Below are 16,765 nucleotides of genomic sequence, written 5' to 3' on the forward strand. Positions count from 1 at the left end.
ATCAATGGCTAAAATGAAATAGACAAAATTATCAGATCTTGGCAAGAATGTAAAACAATCAGAATGCTCATCTACTACTTATGGGGATGGTAATTCATCCCATCATTTTTTTAAATGGCAGTTATTAATAAAGATGAACCCAAGCATATCTTATGACCCAAAAATTTCATCCCAAGATATAGTACACAGTAATATATACATATGTTCACCAGAAGACATGTACTACACTGTTTATGACAGCACTATTCAAAATAGCCCCAAATTGAAGGGTACCCAAGGGTCATCAGAAGTAGAATGGGTAAACTACTGGAATACAGCAATAAGAAGGAATGATCTTCAAGTATACGTAACTATGTCAATGAATCCCACAGCTGTAATGTTGAACAAAAGCTAGGCAGATTATGATTCCTTTTAGATGGAGAATAAAACCAGGCAAAGCTAACTTACACTATTTGATGTGGGGTGGGAGAGGGAAGCAATTGGAAAGGAGCATTAAGGGGGTGCTGGTTAGATAGGTGTGTTTATTTTGTGAAAATTCAGTGGTTTGTGTACTTTTCTGTATGTATTTTATATGTTGGTTAAAAAGGAAAAAACAGCTGAAGGACAGTGGGATGACAGAGTTAAAGATCCTGGTAGATGATGCCTGGAGTGAGACATGGTGGATCCGTAAGGACTGAAAGCAAGAAGATGCTGGGGGCATTGAGAAAGTAGAGGATGCACATGCATTAGGAGGTGAAGAATTTGGGTGAGAGGAAAGGAATGAGAGATTTGGGTGAATGGGGGCTTGTGGTCAGGGGTGGGAAGGTTGGATGTAAGATTTCCAAGGTGGGCTAGTTATGTACGATGGTGAGGTCTAGAGTGGGAGGGGCTAAAGGTGGAGGTCACTGGAGTTCAGCAAGGCAAGGGATTGAGAAGCCCAGCAGGGCATTGAACAGGTGTTCCATGTGGACCATGACCACATAAGTCGGTTGTTGACAGGACTTAGAGACCAGAGAAAGAGAATGTCCCAGTTTTTAAAGTTTTTAGTCTGTACTTAGCTGCAAGGACAAAACCCAATTGAAACCACCCTAAGCAACAACGAGAATTTATTATTTTCCATTAGTGAAAGGCTAGGGTAGAGCTCCAGAATTGCTGGATACAGGCATTAAAATGGTCGGGGGGACTGCTTTCCTCTCCTTTTCTCCCAGTTTCAACTATGTTTTTCTTGGACTCAGGGTGTCCTTATAGTGAGTCATCCCTGATGGTACCAGGAGAAACCCCAGGTGTGATATGAATTGGCCCCACTTGGACTATGTGCTACCCTTGAAGTGGGAGTGGAACTGCACCCCTGAAACACACTCATTGAAAATCAGGGGTGGCCATTCATTGAGAATAAGGGGTGGCATACCAAAACCATAGGTCCACCGTGGAAGTTAGTCCATGCCAAATTGGCCTGACCCTTGGTGATTTCTAATCAAGAGGGATGCAGTAAAGATGTGAGGACTCTGGTTGCTGCAGCAGCTGGTCATCACCAAAAACCTTTACTGGATGATTCTGTGTGGAGGAGAAAAACCACAGAGGAGGTCTGCCCATGGCCAGAAGCTTCTGTGAATTGCATGTAGGGGGTGCAGGGTAGTGGCATCTAGCCAGCTTGACAAAGAAATTTGGCCTTTTCTGCTTTCTTACATCTCCACCCGACGTTTAAAGTCCCACATTTCAGAACTGTCTCTTGTCTCCTAACAGACTGAGTGTGCTTTTCTTCATTTCAGCCAGCTGGGTGGTTTTTTTTTTTTAATTATTATTATTTCGTTGTTGTTGTTGTTGTTGTTTTTGCTTCATCTTCCTGTTTGTCTGTAATGCTCATCTCACTTTTCCATGTTGTCTGTGTGCATTTCTCTTTTCCTGGCTTTGTCTCAGGGAGGAGGAGGAGGAAGAGGAGCAGCCAATCACGGAGCCCAGTTCCGAAGAAGAGAGAGAGGATGATGCTTCCTGTCAGGGCAAGGACAGGTACCTAGGACTGGAGCCTCCCAAGCTCACACTAAAAGTGGGAGACTCCTTCCTAATGATAGTTCACTGCCTTCTAGTGGCCACCTCCCTTCCTCATTGACTCCCACTTGCAAACTCTTACTTACCCTGTTCACAGAGCCACAGAACCACTGGTTTTGTAGAAATACCTGAGCATGTTTTCATTAGAGAACTGCACTTTTTATTGAAATCCTACCTTCCTAACCACACTTTATGGAAAAAATCACTGGTTTTCTCCTCACCTTTCCCTCCCTCATTGAATGCTTTAGCTCAACCAGATTGATGGTGACTAAAAAGGCTCATCTCCCCTAAGAAGATTCTTGCCCTTTCAGCATTGCAGTAAGAAGAATTCCATATGTTCCTTTCTTCCTGATTTTACCAGCACAATATTAGCTAAAATGTGTGGATAACTACTATATTAATGATTCAGGTTTGTTTTATATCCAAACAGGAAAATTTTCACCCCATGCATCATAGCAAAATTTCCCAGTATTTATTTTCACACCAAGACAACTAACATATAACTCTATAGCCCTTTGGGGAGTTTGCTGTCATCTACTCACCTCCTCTGCATGGTGCTTTCTTTCTATCCTCAGGCAACGCTGACAGACATGGGCACCTTGCAGATATTTTAAAATTCTGTAGATATTTTCCCCAAATCATGTCTGTATAAAACAGTAAAAATTGCTCATGGGTAGTTTCATTTTCCAGTATTCAGAAATAATTCTAAAATTGAATGGTTTTCTTCACTTAATTGATTGCCACTGCAAATGGACATTTTTACTTTTTTTTTTTTCCTACAAATAAGCAAAATCAAATGGATCTTGGATGAATCCAAGTAAAATCTTTGCCAACTTTAGATTTAATGGAGTCTTTGCTACTGATGCCTCATCTGCCAGGCTAGCAGTGCACACAGAAGTTCTCAGATGGGCTCATTTGACACACAGACTCCTGCCATGCCCGGGGGTCATAGAATCTTCTCTGAACTGACAAACTAATGATTGCTTGCCCCTATTTGGAAATGACTGAGAAGAAGCCAGCAGGATGTGGAGAGAAAAGGAATGAGCTGATGATAGAGAATTAGCCACACATTTCAGGAAAGATCAGCATGAAACAGAGACCCTGCCGTGCTTAGAGCTAGTGATTGATTACTTAGAGGTGCTCTGGGAAGGGAGGATGTTTGGTCGCCATCCCACCTTCAGTTGAAAATGAGCTGTAGGAAATTCTGTAGGCTATCACTGAAACAGGGATATGCCTCCCTATCTGCTGAAAGGTGCATGTTCTGCCCACCTGCACAAACCCTTAAACCCTCAGGTATGCACATGCTTCTGCACCTTCAGACCAGATGGAAGAATCTGGCTGGAAAAGGCGGCCTTCAAAGGCATCCCTGTTAATGGTGTGCTGTCTCTACCTAGGATTTTTATTATACAGGTAGATGATTGTTTATCTTATGCCTGGAAGAGTCTCTGACTCCACAAAGTGATGCCAGAGGGCATCCTTTACCAGAGACCATTAGGCTTTTCAGTTTTAGGAAATAAACATGTGTATGTTAAATAACAGAGCTTGATCTTGGTAGTACCTAGGTATTCATTAACCTTCATCTGGATGTTATTTGTTCTCTGGCGTAAACTTCTGAGACCGTAAAGGATTTCCCCTTCCTTCTGTTGGGTTGGTGTCTCTGCTGCCCTGCTTCCTGCTGACTTCTGCTTAGTGTGTGCTCCCCGCCTGAGGCACTGCCCTCAGCTCGCTACAGCATGTCCATCTTCCCATCAATCCAGGGAAACTGTTGGGTGCCTGCCCTTATGTACAAGCAGAGCTCTGAATTTGAGGCGGGAAAGAAGACAGCTCACATTCCATGTTCACACGAACATGGCTGGGAGTCAATTTCTCTGAGAGAGGACTGGAAAAATGCAAAGTTTAACATAGATTCCCAGGTTATAAATGTATGTGTTAAAATATCCAAGGGTCTAAACCCAGCCCCCTGAAGATGGAAAGCTCTTTTTATAGTTTTATAATATTTAATGGACAAATTAAAAATTATATATAATGCCAGGCATGGTGGCTCACGCCTGTAATCCCAGCACTTTGGGAATCCAAGGCAGGTGGATCACTTAAGGTCAGGAGTTCGAGTCCAGCTTGACCAACATGGTGAAACCTCATCTCTACTAAAAATACAAAATTAGCCAGGTGTGGTATCGCATGCCTGTAATCCCAGCTACTTGGGAGGCTGAGGCAGAAGGGTTGCTTGAACCTGGGAGGCAAAGGTTGCCGTGAGCCAAGATCACTGGGGGCAACAAGAGCAAAACTCTGTTCAAAAAACTCTGCTCAAAAAAAAAAAATGTATATATTTAAGGTTTACAAAGTGATGATTTGATATATGTATACATTGCATAATGATGACCACAATCAATGAACATGTCTATCACCTCCCATAGTTACTGTGTGTGGAGGGACTGAGGTCAGGATTTTATACCTGGAGGCAGAATCAGGCCTGTCTGAAGGCGTCTGAATGTCACAGGTGTAGTGGGAGGCCCTGGAGAAAGTATGAAACGGGCAAAATTTGTCTTTTTTGTCCTGGCCCCTCTTTTTAGCTCTTTGCCTTCCTCGCTGGCATTTTTTCTCCTTTTCTCTTAGCCATACCTGCTGTCACAAAAGGTTCTGGAAGCAGTCACTAAAGTGTATGGCTTTGTGGGATACCTCTTCCTCAAGGTTGGGCTTTTTAGCAGGAGGACAGATCTGCTATTTGACCAAGACAGAGATGAAGTTCCAGTCGTGGAAATTCAGATGCCAACACCAGCAGCAGGGAGAAACATGGGAGGTGCCGGGTGCAGAAGAGTCTTTGGGGCTCCAGTAAATTCCCAAAGTCTCTTACACCTAGAGGCCAGGTTTGGCCTGAGAGCCACCTCCTTGCCCTCTATAAGTCTTACCTCCTGGTTTGACAAACTCAGCATGTCAGGATTGCTTGGGCAAACCAAAGCTGCTGGTGACAGGCTTTTATGCTTCAGTTCAAGAAACACAGCTTGACTTTGAAGTGAGTGATAATAGTACAGAAGTGGCTTTTTGCCTGTCTCTCTTTTTCCTAACCTTTGCTCCTTCTCTCCCAAATCTTTTTTTCTTCTTCCTCCTCCTCCCTGCTGGCCCAACAGCAAGGTCGGCGCTGCCTCAGGGCAGAGCCCCACTGGAAGGGATGCTGCTCCCAAGAGCTCTGCCCTCCCTGCTGTCTCGAATGCCAGCTCGCAGGGAAAGCCGCTTCTGGTTGGCACTGCAGGCGGGACCACCTGGCACAGTGGGTCCTCTGGGTCTGAGGCCACCCCATCTGCCCTCCTGTCACCCCCTGCCTCAGCTGCTCGGCCCTCCTCCGCCACACCAGGCTCCCTGAAGGTGTCACCGACCATAGACAAGCTGCCCTACGTGCCCCACAGCCCCTTCCACCTCTTCTCCTATGACTTTGAGGACTCCTCCCTGTCCACCAAGGAGAAGGAAGCAGAGTCCCAGAAGGAAAACAGGTAGATTTGCTCACCTGGAGGCTTGTTTGAGATTAACTCGGGGAGGAGAACACAGTGTGTTAACTGCACCCCTTGGCTTGGCTTCTGCCATGTTTTTTTGTGGATTTCAGCCCAAGCAGGGAGCAGTTGTGGCATAAACTTAAGTTGCTGACCCCTGACTAAATAATGACCAGTGTTTACATAAGATGCAGAGAAAATTGTCATCTGTTTGAATTAAGGGGATCATTTGTTAAAATATGATTACTAGTAATGGGTTTTTAAATGTAAGGTTTACATGTGTATAATGTGTCCAAATTTATACATCTTGTACCAAGCCAGGTGGCATGAAGTCTTTTTGACGCTGAAGAATGTATCAAAGTCCTTTGCTATCTTTCCGTGCCACATTGTGAGCGGGCTTTTCTTCCTTTGACAGTTCCTCTGATTCTTTCTCTTTGAGCACATATTCTGCCTCTGAGCCTTACCACTTCCGATCTTTCTCTTCTAATAGGTGGGTGTCTTTATTTTCTTTCCCTTTTCTGTAGCTTTCTGTTTTATATTCTAATGTATGCATTTTTCTTTTCAAAGAATGCTAATATCTTCCTACAACGTGACACACAATTACAGTTTGAACCACTTCATAGGTATTAATTACGTATTTTACTATGAACACTTAAATCTTATAAAAAATGGAGATGAGGGCAGAGGGAGGTGTGCAAATCAGAACTCCCCCAAGAATGTTCAACAGGTGTCCACCTGTATTAATGCCTTTCCCTGTTGCCTGCGTTATGAGCTCTCTGCTGGAGTGGGGAACTGGGAATAGAGTTGGCATATTTTGAACAATCAGTCGTCCAAAAATCAATAGTTGATCATTCTAATGACCATTTCATCTTAGATTAATTATAATAGCTGACATTTATTGAGCATTGTTTTTGAGCCACATCCTGTATTTTCCATGAAATTAGTACTTTATTACTTTACCCTTGAGAGGTAGGTTCTATTACAAGCATTTACTACACTGAGGAAACTGAGGCACAGAAAGGCTAAGTACCTTGACCAGAGTCACTCAGCTAGTATGTTGCGAGGCGGTTTCAACCCCAGGCAGCCTGTTCCAGAGTCGCTTCCTAACCCGTACGTGGTGCTGCTGTCTGTCATTTAGGCAGTCAGTCACTTTCTCTCCTTACTGCACTCACCACACCCTGCCAAGGCAAGTCCTTGTCAGCAAGATGTTTTGCCAGAGCCTGTGTTTCGGGGACCCCAGTCTGGGTGCCCTACTCAACAGGAAGCTGCACCATGTTTTAAATGAAGGCTTATAGGACCTGAACCTTGAAGGAAGCTCCTTCATACCATGAAAATGACCAGTCTTTATGGGTATCAGACCTTTCACCTAATAAATAGGAGGGCTAATCTAGATCTATGATCGTTAACAATTTTTGCTTACTATATCTGAAGGAATTTTGAAGTTTCCCTCCAAGTTTTGAGAAGCCTGTCTACAGTTTTTTTTACTATAAGTTTAAATTGTTGATATAATTTGTCTATTGTATATATGCTTTATATTTTTTTCAAAACCTTGGGGCTTTAGATTTAACTGATTTAATTCTGGAAAACACCTATGTATACCTACTTGGCAAAGCCAGTCCTTAGTCAAATGAGACTTAACTTCTGTCAGAAGAAGCCTGATTTCATGTTTCAGTTCAAATAAGCGAGCTCATACGCATCCCTGACAACAGTCTCATTTTTGGGGCTGATTCTCAGGTGGGCACGTAGACAGAGATGAGGCATGAGACCTTGCTTCTAGTTTTTCCCTGGATAAATAAAGCTCCGTCTTCTCCCTCCAGCATACTTCTTAAGGAATTCCCTCAGGAGTGATATTTTCCTTTGCTTGGTACCATGGAGATCTTATAGCACAAAGCAGTGCCCCACACTGATTCCACCTGCTCAAGAGTTTTTTTTCTTTCTAAAAATGGAAGGTGATTTTGGAAGGAGAAGCTGGAAAGGACTGGGAGACCCTAGGAGCAGCATGGGAAGATCCATTTTTAAAAAGAGCAGATATGGAACTTCAGGATCTGAAAATTAATTTCCTCTGATTTCCAGAATGGCTTTGTATACCTCCAGGAGTTGTGAACTGAGCTTCTTTTTTTTTCCTTCTTTTTTTTTTTTTTTTTTGTACCCCAATCATACTATCCCAGTGAACCAAATTTGAATTCCTTGAAACTACAAGTTCTCTGCAGGTCTCTTCCAGGTCTACAGTTCCAGGATTGTTGTTATCTTTCACACAGTTTTTGCGGAATGAATCCAACATGACTCTTACACCTTCCAAGAACAATATCTATGTGCAAGTTAGGAGCTGAACATTTGACTGGAACAAAAATATGTTGGTGATCTCATCTTTCCCAGAGAGTGTGTTAGCCCACGGTGGTGATGCTGGTCTTTCTGGTGATGGTCTCGGCCCTAGTTGGGGCTTTCCTGGGCCCCAGACCCTTCCCGTTTGGTCTGCAAGCTTCACCGCTATTTATAGTCGTGGGGGTGGGAGCAATAGAAACACATAAGCTGTCCAGTTGAAGATACACGTAAGTTGTGGGGGAAAAAAAAAGCTGCTTGCTTGTGAATGAAGGTTGACTTTGATTTAACTGAGCAAAGTTTGTAAACTTTTAAAATCACTTCTCCAGCAGGAACTTGGATACTGTACAAGTATTGTTCCTATTGATTTTTCTGATGTTCACTTTTTGTGGTTTTCATGGGTCTGTGTGACCACAGATGGACTACTCAGTGGTTGACTGCGATTGAATGGGTTATAATAAAGACCGACCAGTTAGTCATTAAAAAGAACCCTCACCCTCCACACACACACACACACACACACACACAAAAATGCTGAATAGTGAGTTGTATGATCTAGTTAGTTTGGCTGAAATTGAGAAGCAAAATTAGACTATGAGGCATTTGAATTAATTGCTTAGACATTAGGAAAACCAAAGGAGGGAAAAACACATTCTGCTTGTTTTATTTCCATAGCGTCATTTAAACACAATTTTAGCAAAGTGATCCTGTTAAAACATTCTGCAGGATGTCCACTTGTGGTGGGAAGGGAATTGTTTTAGCTGCTGGAGTAGGATGACAAGCTGAGCATCCAGGCAGCTGCTGACACAGGCATGGAGCCTGTGTGGATCAGGCTGCATCAGGGTCTCGTCACGGAGAGTGCTAGGTGTCGTGCGGGGCAGCCTCCTTCCCCTCCCTCATTGCAGTGCTTGCTGCCTGGTTTCTTTCCCTCTTTGCTCATTGGCTTTCTCTCCCTTCTCTATTTCTGCCTTTGTAGGTTCCTTTCATCCTTTGCTTTTGTGCTTCCTATGTGGCCTGTGGTTTGGGAACCCTGTTGAAAAATTAAACCAACACTCACTTGGAGAAGCAATTAACCTGTTTGACATGTAGAGTGTTGGGTTTTTAAAGAGAAAATGAGTACTCAGAAACCAAGTCCCACAAAGATGATGTGTTCACAGAGGATAATGGAATAGAGTGGTATGCTCTGAGCCTCTCTCTGTCTGGCACTGAGAATATGCCAGCCATGTGACACTAAATAAATAAGGACAGCAACAGCCAAACTGACCAGAATTAGCAGCACAGGATAGATGCGGGTCGTATCAATATTTTATTTTCCATTATAATAATGAAATTTCTTATTGAAAACTGAAATTTCATCTCTCTATTCTTTTTTAAAAAATAGCCCATTTTTATAGTTTTTCCTACACTTAGTTTTTGACTTTTGAGTATATTTTTGCACAGTTGTGATCAAACTGTGTATATTATATCCTGATGTTTTCATTTAGCCTATATTATCATTTTTCGTGTTGTCACTTATAAAATTGGTAATCATTTTTAAGGGTTGCATAATAGTCCATTGACAAATAATATATCATACTTTCGTAGCCATTTCCACATTTCTACCTGGTTAAGTAGTTTTTAGTTTTCTACCATGATCTAAATAATGTTCCACTATTTGCAGGAGCTTTCTGGAAAGAAAAAGAAAAAAGATAAATAATGCTCCAATAAGTATCTTCCTGTATGACATTTTCAGTATATAAATAACTATAAGGTTATTTCCTTATGTTATCTTCCCAAAAGTTGACTTACTCTGTCGAAGGATACACTCATTTTGAAATCAGTTTGCTTTCCAGAAGGGATTCCAATTTCTGTTGATGGGCGTTTGGACTGGATTCTCCATGTGCAAGAAGCTCTTTGTGTCCTTATAGTGACTGTTGGGGTCCCACACATTCTAATACAGTGTCCCTAACCAGTTCGGTGGACGGGGTGGGTCCTGCTCTGTGGCTGGGTAGATTTGCGAGGCAAAGCTCTCTGAGCCTCATTATTTGTAAGTAATCCTGAGTGTCTGAGCCCATGCAAGGGCATCAAATAATGATTTGTTTTCTGGGAGTGCTCTGAGTGATGATACCTAAATATGGTCTGCTAAAGGACGTCTAGTCTGAAAAACAGAAATCTAGAATTTTACAGATCTTGAAATTTAACTTGTCAGACATGTCTGGAAAATCATCAAATCTCATGTAAACCTCATGGCTGTAATTTTGGTTCAGGGGAAATGTTGGATGAAAACATGAATACATGCACCTCTAAGGAGCAGGCCAGTCCAGAAAGCCTGGGGACAGTTTCTCCTCAATCACTGAACATGTGATGGGATTACATTTAATCAGTGAAATTGATATGGAAATACTAAAGTGGAATTTTAAATAAGATGTTTCTTTAGCCAACCATATGGTATTTCTTACAGACCTGTGATGGAATTAACACTAATTGTGCCACCATGTGAGGCAAGAAAAATCTTCATGGTTCAAGTGAAATTGATTTGGATTTTTAATTTATGTTAGCAAATAATTTTAACGTACATTTTAAAAAACAGGAAATGTTAGGGTTTTATTTAAACCCTTTGTCATAAATCTTGCTGCCTAATGGTTTTAGACTTTGGGAAACTCCTCTTATGAGAAATTATCAGAAAAAAACAGGGAACAAACCTCTTTAGGTAGAATTACCACTAACAGTGGTAGCATTTCCAGACCTGTTTCTCTTGCAAAAATTAAAATGGTTTGCTAAGTCTTATTTACTGACTTGTACTTATTTCTCTATCCTTTTCCCCCCAACTTAAACCTCTGCACTTCTTAGATACAGCAATTTTGGCAATAACTCTTATCACTCCTCAAGACCCTCATCTGGATCCAGTGTGCCCACCACCCCCACATCATCCGTCTCACCCCCACAGGAGGCCAGGTTGGAAAGGTGAGTTCGACAAGCACGCTGATAGCTTCACAGTCCTCAAGTGAGGGGAATCAATTTGGTTAAGTGTGGTTAAAGGAAAAATATAAATAAAAGACATAACATGAAGTATTTTCCTTTACAGAACATTGTCCGAAGCCAGGAATATTTTCTCTTTCTTTCACACTATTTACTAAGCAAATATTTTATTAGAGGTGATATTTTAATATTAGCGTCTCATCCCCCTACACACTTTCCATAGAAAGTATAAAAATGTCTTCTAAAATATTTGTGTGAATGTTTTGATTCATTCCTTAAAAACTGTTCTAGATTTTACGTAAGCTCTGCAATTTGTTATATACACATCAGTTTTCACCATTGAATGATTAAATCTGTGTAAATCAGAAAGTAGTGGGCCCATTAAGGTGCTGTATAATTAATCCAGGACCTACCAGAAGAGAAAAGAATTGTATGGGTACATGGAAGGAATTTAACTTGGCAAGAGTATTAGACCACCAGAAATTAACTGATTATGACTCCCAGAAGCAAATGATTGCCCAAGGATGTGTTTACAAGGGAAAGGTAAGACCTGTAATTTTAGAACAGTTAGAAAGTTACCCTCACATGGCAAGAGTGCTGAGTTAGAGAAGACTGGTTAGGATTCCAGCTCACTCACTTGGAAGTTATTTAACCCTGAGGGTAAATGCCAATTACACCAACCCATACCTTAGAGGGTGATTTTGATGAGCAAACAAAAGTCCACTCGGGAGTGCTGTGTGAAGCCCACCATGTGTATCTGGTGGAAGCTGTTAGTGTAGGAGATGATAGCATGTAACTTCCAGCAGCTCCTCATTCATCAGGAATCTAGACATGAGCGACATCAGAGATCACTTACCTCAAATCCCAAATTTAAAGCAACCTGCGTTCCACATTTAGATCCTCTTCTATGTGTATTCTGAAGTATGTTTTGCCGAGTGCTGCTGGTGATTGGAGGTTTGGTTGGGTTGAGAGCAGGCAAGACCTTAAGCCCTGGGAGGAAGGGAGGTCCAGTGGGGTTTGCCTAGTCACATGTCACTGTTAACTTCTAAGATGGCATGTAGATCCTACGGTGTCAAGCTCTCAGATTCCACAGTCCAGTGTGGTCCTGGGCTGAGCACACTTGGGCTAAGTTAGGTCTTGATAATAAGGTAACCATTTGATTACCCCGAAGACACCATTACCTGTCTGTAGTTCTGTCCTTTACCCTAGGGCACCTCCTGTTGGGATTAGCTGAAGTTACCTGTAGTCCTGAAAAGGTCACCATACAGATGACCCTTGTCAAATGGGATGTAAGATTTGGGGCCAAAGTGAGTAATATTGGAGTCAGACTGATACGACGTTGCACATCTTGCACCTGCCAAGCTGCCAGCTCCTCAGGGACTAGAACCAGGCTCTGTTCATTGGTGTGTTCCCTACAGTGCCTGGGGCCTGGCAATAGTAGAGCCACAGTAAACACTGATGGAAGGATGGGGTGACTTAGCTGCTCACTGCTTGGGAACACTTTGGAGGTCTGTGAAGTTATAAAGTTATACAGACAGGGGTCCATGTGGCCCACAAGATTACCAAAGCCCTGGGCTTGGATGTTCTTCCCAGGTTCTGAAAGGGAAGCCCCAACCTCTGCCCGCTTTTCTGCCACTGGAATCCCAGGTCCAGGTTTGGGCTAGAAGATCCAGGATCCTGAAGGACTCCTGTCTGTGTCTCCTTCTCTGCCTGGACTGGCTGAAGTGCCCCTGGGGATAAGGAGGGTGGGCAGTTAAACCAGGAATGGTAGAATTGGATCCCAGAGCCTGGGCGCGGTGGCTCACACCTGTAATCCCAACACTTTGGGAGGCCGAGGTGGGCAGATCACGAGGTCAGGAGTTTGAGACCAGCCCAACCAACATGGTGAACCCCCGTCTCTACTAAAAATACAAAACTTAGCCGAGTGTGGTGGTGCACGCCTGTTATCCCAGCTACTCAGGAGGCTGAGGCAGGAGAATCACTTGAACCTGGGAGGTGGAAGTTGCAGTGAGCCGAGATTGTGCCATTGCACTCCAGCCTGGGTGACCGTGAGACTCTGTCTCAAAAACAAAACAAAAACAAAAAAGACTTGGATCCCAGAGTGCCTTGAACATCCTGGGGAAGAGGCTGGACTTTATCCTGAGACCACTGGAGCTGTTCAAGTTTGGAAACAGGAGACAGGAGGCAGGAGGCAACCAATTCTAATTTGTTAGTAGCATAGAACAAGCCACTGGGGTGAGGCTGCAGGAACAAGGGCTGCCGCGAGGCAGTGTCAGAGTCCAAGAGAGATGACCGTGCCCAACATGGCACTGGCTGTGGGACTTGCCAGGAGCAGCAGGTTTGGCAGAGTTGGCTGCCGCCTGGAGGGTAAGAGGAGACGCAAAATGAGTAGAGGTTCAGGCTTGCACGAGTGTATGGATGTTAGAAACAAGGAACTGGGACGATACTGGAAGAAAAGCAAATTGGGTGGAGACTTCCAGCATGGGGCATGGGTGGTCCAAGGAGCCTGTCTGACATCCAGGGAGATGTTCCAGAGGCCCTGGGGAGGTGTGGACTCAGCAGTCCTTGGCTTGAAGAAGGCTCTGGAGTTAAATCCCTCAGAGAGCCTGGCATTGGGATGGGGTCACTGGGGAACAGCAGTGGTGGGATGACTCTCCTAAGTTCCTTTCCTTCTTACAGTACGCTGTTGCTGTAGGAACTTGGTTTTCTTTACCATCACTCTATCCACGAGCGAGTACGGTAGCTTCTAAGAGTCTATCACCTCCTTTACATTTGCTTGTCTTTTTCACTGTCACCTTGTGTGGCTCTGAAAAAACATATGATGAATCATTTGACATATCAGATGTGCAGTTTTATTAAGACCAGGAAGCCACTGGACCTGGCTGTATTACCACTTTACTTATGTTTTGTAAGTGGGGGAAAAAAAAAAAGAAATAAGAGGATCTTCTAACTCCAAATCATACTTGTGCACCATCGCCCAAGAATATTACATCAGTTGCACTTATGATAATAGACATTTTTATATAGTTTGAATTTTTTCTTTGTCATATTTGACAACTGAATTCTTTGGATATCACCCATAATCTAATTTCACCTATGCAAGTATTTTTTGCCCATTAAGATGTGTGATTATTTTTACTGAGGTATATATACTTTAGTAGAATTTGTAAGATTTATGGTTGGTATGTTTTATATATACATATATTATTAAAACCAAAAAGGAACTATATTATCAATAATGGTTACATTTCTGCAATGAGGATGCGCGTCTTCTGTGATCATACCCCTGACTAATAAACATTGTGCCTGAGCCCTGTACAATACTAGGAAGTTCTAGAACTTCATTCCCTTGATTTGGAAACAAGACTACTTCACTGAAGTCCTGGGATAATCAGGCCAACTAAAACACCCTTCAGGCACCTCGGCCCACTTTGGAAATGCAAGTGGACATTGTCATGAGCTTGGAGTTTTCCATTTCTTCCCCAACAAGTATATTCATGTGTTAGATGTTGATAAAACTTGGAATGATAAATTGACATAGGAAGGAAGTGCTGAAGAAACAATATGGAAAATTAAGTCAAGGATATTAAAATGAATCCATCTCCATATCTCCTATTATAGCTTTGTTAATAGGGCTCTCTTTTAGAAATAGAGTAATATTTTCATGAAGTTTGGAACTTAAGAGAAAACAAAACAAAACGAGAAAACCAGAACTATCTGCAAAGGCCCTCAGGAATACAAGATGCAACTGTTTAATGAAAGCAGACTTTTAAAACACTTCACTTTTTGAAAATGTACTTTTTGAGCAGATAATTTCTAAATGTTTTCTTTGTGAAAGAAAATAAAACTACAGGAATATTTGAACTATTTGTGTTCAAGTATTCAAATGAAACAAACAAGCAAACAACCACACCTCAAGCGCATATGTGGTTGTGAGGCTTTGGGAAAGGCCGGGCCCATCCTCTTCCCTTCCCTGTAGTGACATCTCCATCTTGTGGACTTTCTCATCAATGGCGGCTGGAGGCTTGCCTTGTCAATGTGAGGAAACAGTACGCCCAAGCCCTGGGACTGAAGGTACCCTAAGACAGTCCTTGTTCTGGGACTAGAGAGGCCACCTAGAGTAAGCCTATCCTGCACTGTGAGTGCTCAGTGGGAAGAGGTTGTAGGAACCTCAGGCCCATACTTAGGACGCCAGAGAGGATTTCTCTGTGGACATGCTGTGCTGAAACCCAAAGGATCATATGCACTTTAACCATGCATTCTGTTCTCTTTTCCACTTGTAATAATGCCATTGTTTACTATAAATGACACTGACATGGCTGTTTTTCAGATTAATGTCAAGAGCCCTTAGAAGATCTTGGGAATTGTCTTTCTCATAGTTGTCCCAGCAGAGTTCTTCCTACTTCCTGTAAGATTATAAACCCAGATATAAGTAACAACATCTTGTTAGGGAGTAATAATGGATAATAAGGGATGGATAAAGGACATAACCTTTTGTGTGTGTGTAGTAAGAATACTTAACATGAGATCTACCCTCTTAACAATGTTTAAGTGGTCAATATGTTATTATTAACTATAGGCACTATGTTATGTAGGAGAGCTCTGGAACTTCTATAATTGTAGCTTTATACTCATCAGATAATAACTCCTTATATCCCTCTTTCCTCAATCCCCTGGTAACCATCATTCTATTGTCTACTTCTATATCTTTGACCATTTTAGATGCCTCATATGAGGGTCATTGAGTTGTTTTTTCTCATTGTATTATTGAAGTTCTTTATAAACTGTGATAAGAGTAGCAATCACTTTTCTCATTGTTCTTTTTTACTTCATTTATTGTGTGTTTACCATGTAGAAACATTCAATTTCATGAGTAAATCTTTTCTATTTTCATGATTTTGTGTTCCTACTGAAGAAAGCCTTTTTTCTCCTGGTTTCTTCTAGTACTTCTGTAGCTACATTTTGTCACATTTAAATGTTTTATCTATCTGGAAATTATTTTGGCAAATAGTATGAGGCAGAGGTCCAACTTCAGCTTTTTCATACATTCAACAACATGTATTGAATAACCCTTTGTTTCCCTACCGTGTGTCAGATACTAACAGGAAGGGAGGTTTGTTTATGCATCGGTGTGTTCAAACTGTTCTTAGGAGCATCTCCCCTCTTCCTGCTGTCAGCCTTCCCTGATCAGCCACGCTGACCTCTCAGGAGCTCTCCTTCCTCCCAGTTTTTGGCTTTACCACTTTCTTCATGGTCACTGGAATACAACTGTGTCATGTGCTGCCATGGAACAGTCCTATTATTGCATCATCTGCTTTTAGGAGGTTGTGTACAGTGACTGACAGTGCTATAGTAAAGAACAGTCATATTTTAGGAAGCTGGGAAAGTGGAAGCCTTCTGTGCTTCTGTGGTGGCTTCTCCCAGCTTAAGCTCTCTCTTATGGGAATCTCACTTGCTGTGATCCCCTTGAACACCTATCTCCACCATGTTTATGGAGACTTCTCCCTCAGAATTCAGGTTTCTGTTTCCATGCATTTCCTGCCTGTTGGCAGTTACTGTAGTTCTTCCAGTGATGGCCTGCCAGGCTTGCCTTTTGACTACCACCCTGTGTGTAACTTGTGGGTACCTGTGCCTTCTTCATCTTTGTTGCCAATTCCAAGTGGACTGTCTATTCCCTATGAATCCACATGCTTGTGTCTTCCCATTCTTGTCTGCTTTGGCTTTTATCATTTCCTTCCCTGACCTCACTAGTCATCTACATGTGCCTTGAAGTTCTACTTGGGTTTTTGAATGACTGTGTTTTGTGGATATGTGATCTGGGTGTTTTGCTGGATCCCAGATGCTTGCTGGCTGTGTTCTATCACTTGGTCAACCCAATACTTAAAAAAAAATTGTCAGTGGAATTGAGAGCCACATTGTGCAATGGGGTTCTAGTTTTTAAAAAAATTAAATTGGTTGATTAAAGTACATTTTTAAAAAAC

General features: G+C 42.3%; 1 protein-coding gene and 1 long non-coding RNA gene across 46 annotated transcripts in view, besides 1 other annotated feature; one reads left to right on the forward strand and one right to left on the reverse strand.

Moving 5' to 3' along the window:
• Positions 1-16,765, forward strand: part of FHOD3 (formin homology 2 domain containing 3) — a 482,508-nt gene that overhangs the window by 349,707 nt on the left and 116,036 nt on the right. For 14 of the 45 annotated variants that reach the window (XM_011526189.2, XM_011526190.3, XM_017026008.2 and 11 more), the window contains 4 exons: positions 1,897-1,986; positions 5,151-5,510; positions 5,923-5,997; positions 10,656-10,769. The exons of 8 other annotated variants lie outside the window; for them this stretch is intronic. In XM_011526189.2, coding sequence (XP_011524491.1) covers positions 1,897-1,986; positions 5,151-5,510; positions 5,923-5,997; positions 10,656-10,769 — 639 coding nt within the window. The remainder of the gene's footprint in view (positions 1-1,896; positions 1,987-5,150; positions 5,511-5,922; positions 5,998-10,655; positions 10,770-16,765) is intronic. 23 more of the 45 variants (XM_011526196.2, XM_017026009.2, NM_025135.5 and 20 more) reach the window with 3 other exon arrangements.
• LOC105372071 (uncharacterized) lies at positions 12,970-15,999 on the reverse strand. Its single transcript, NR_132982.1, has 3 exons — positions 15,888-15,999; positions 13,498-13,590; positions 12,970-13,144 (listed from the first exon to the last, which is right to left on the reverse strand). It is a non-coding gene; the product is annotated as an uncharacterized LOC105372071 (long non-coding RNA).
• Positions 14,703-14,862: an enhancer, noted in NCBI's record as "active region_13241". NCBI's record gives its function as "activates an Ori minimal core promoter by ATAC-STARR-seq in GM12878 lymphoblastoid cells {active_cell/tissue: GM12878}" and the evidence as "EXISTENCE:reporter gene assay evidence [ECO:0000049][PMID:35858748]".

The sequence above is a fragment of the Homo sapiens genome, chromosome 18 (genome assembly GCF_000001405.40).
Source record: "Homo sapiens chromosome 18, GRCh38.p14 Primary Assembly".
Classification (NCBI taxonomy): domain Eukaryota; kingdom Metazoa; phylum Chordata; class Mammalia; order Primates; family Hominidae; genus Homo; species Homo sapiens.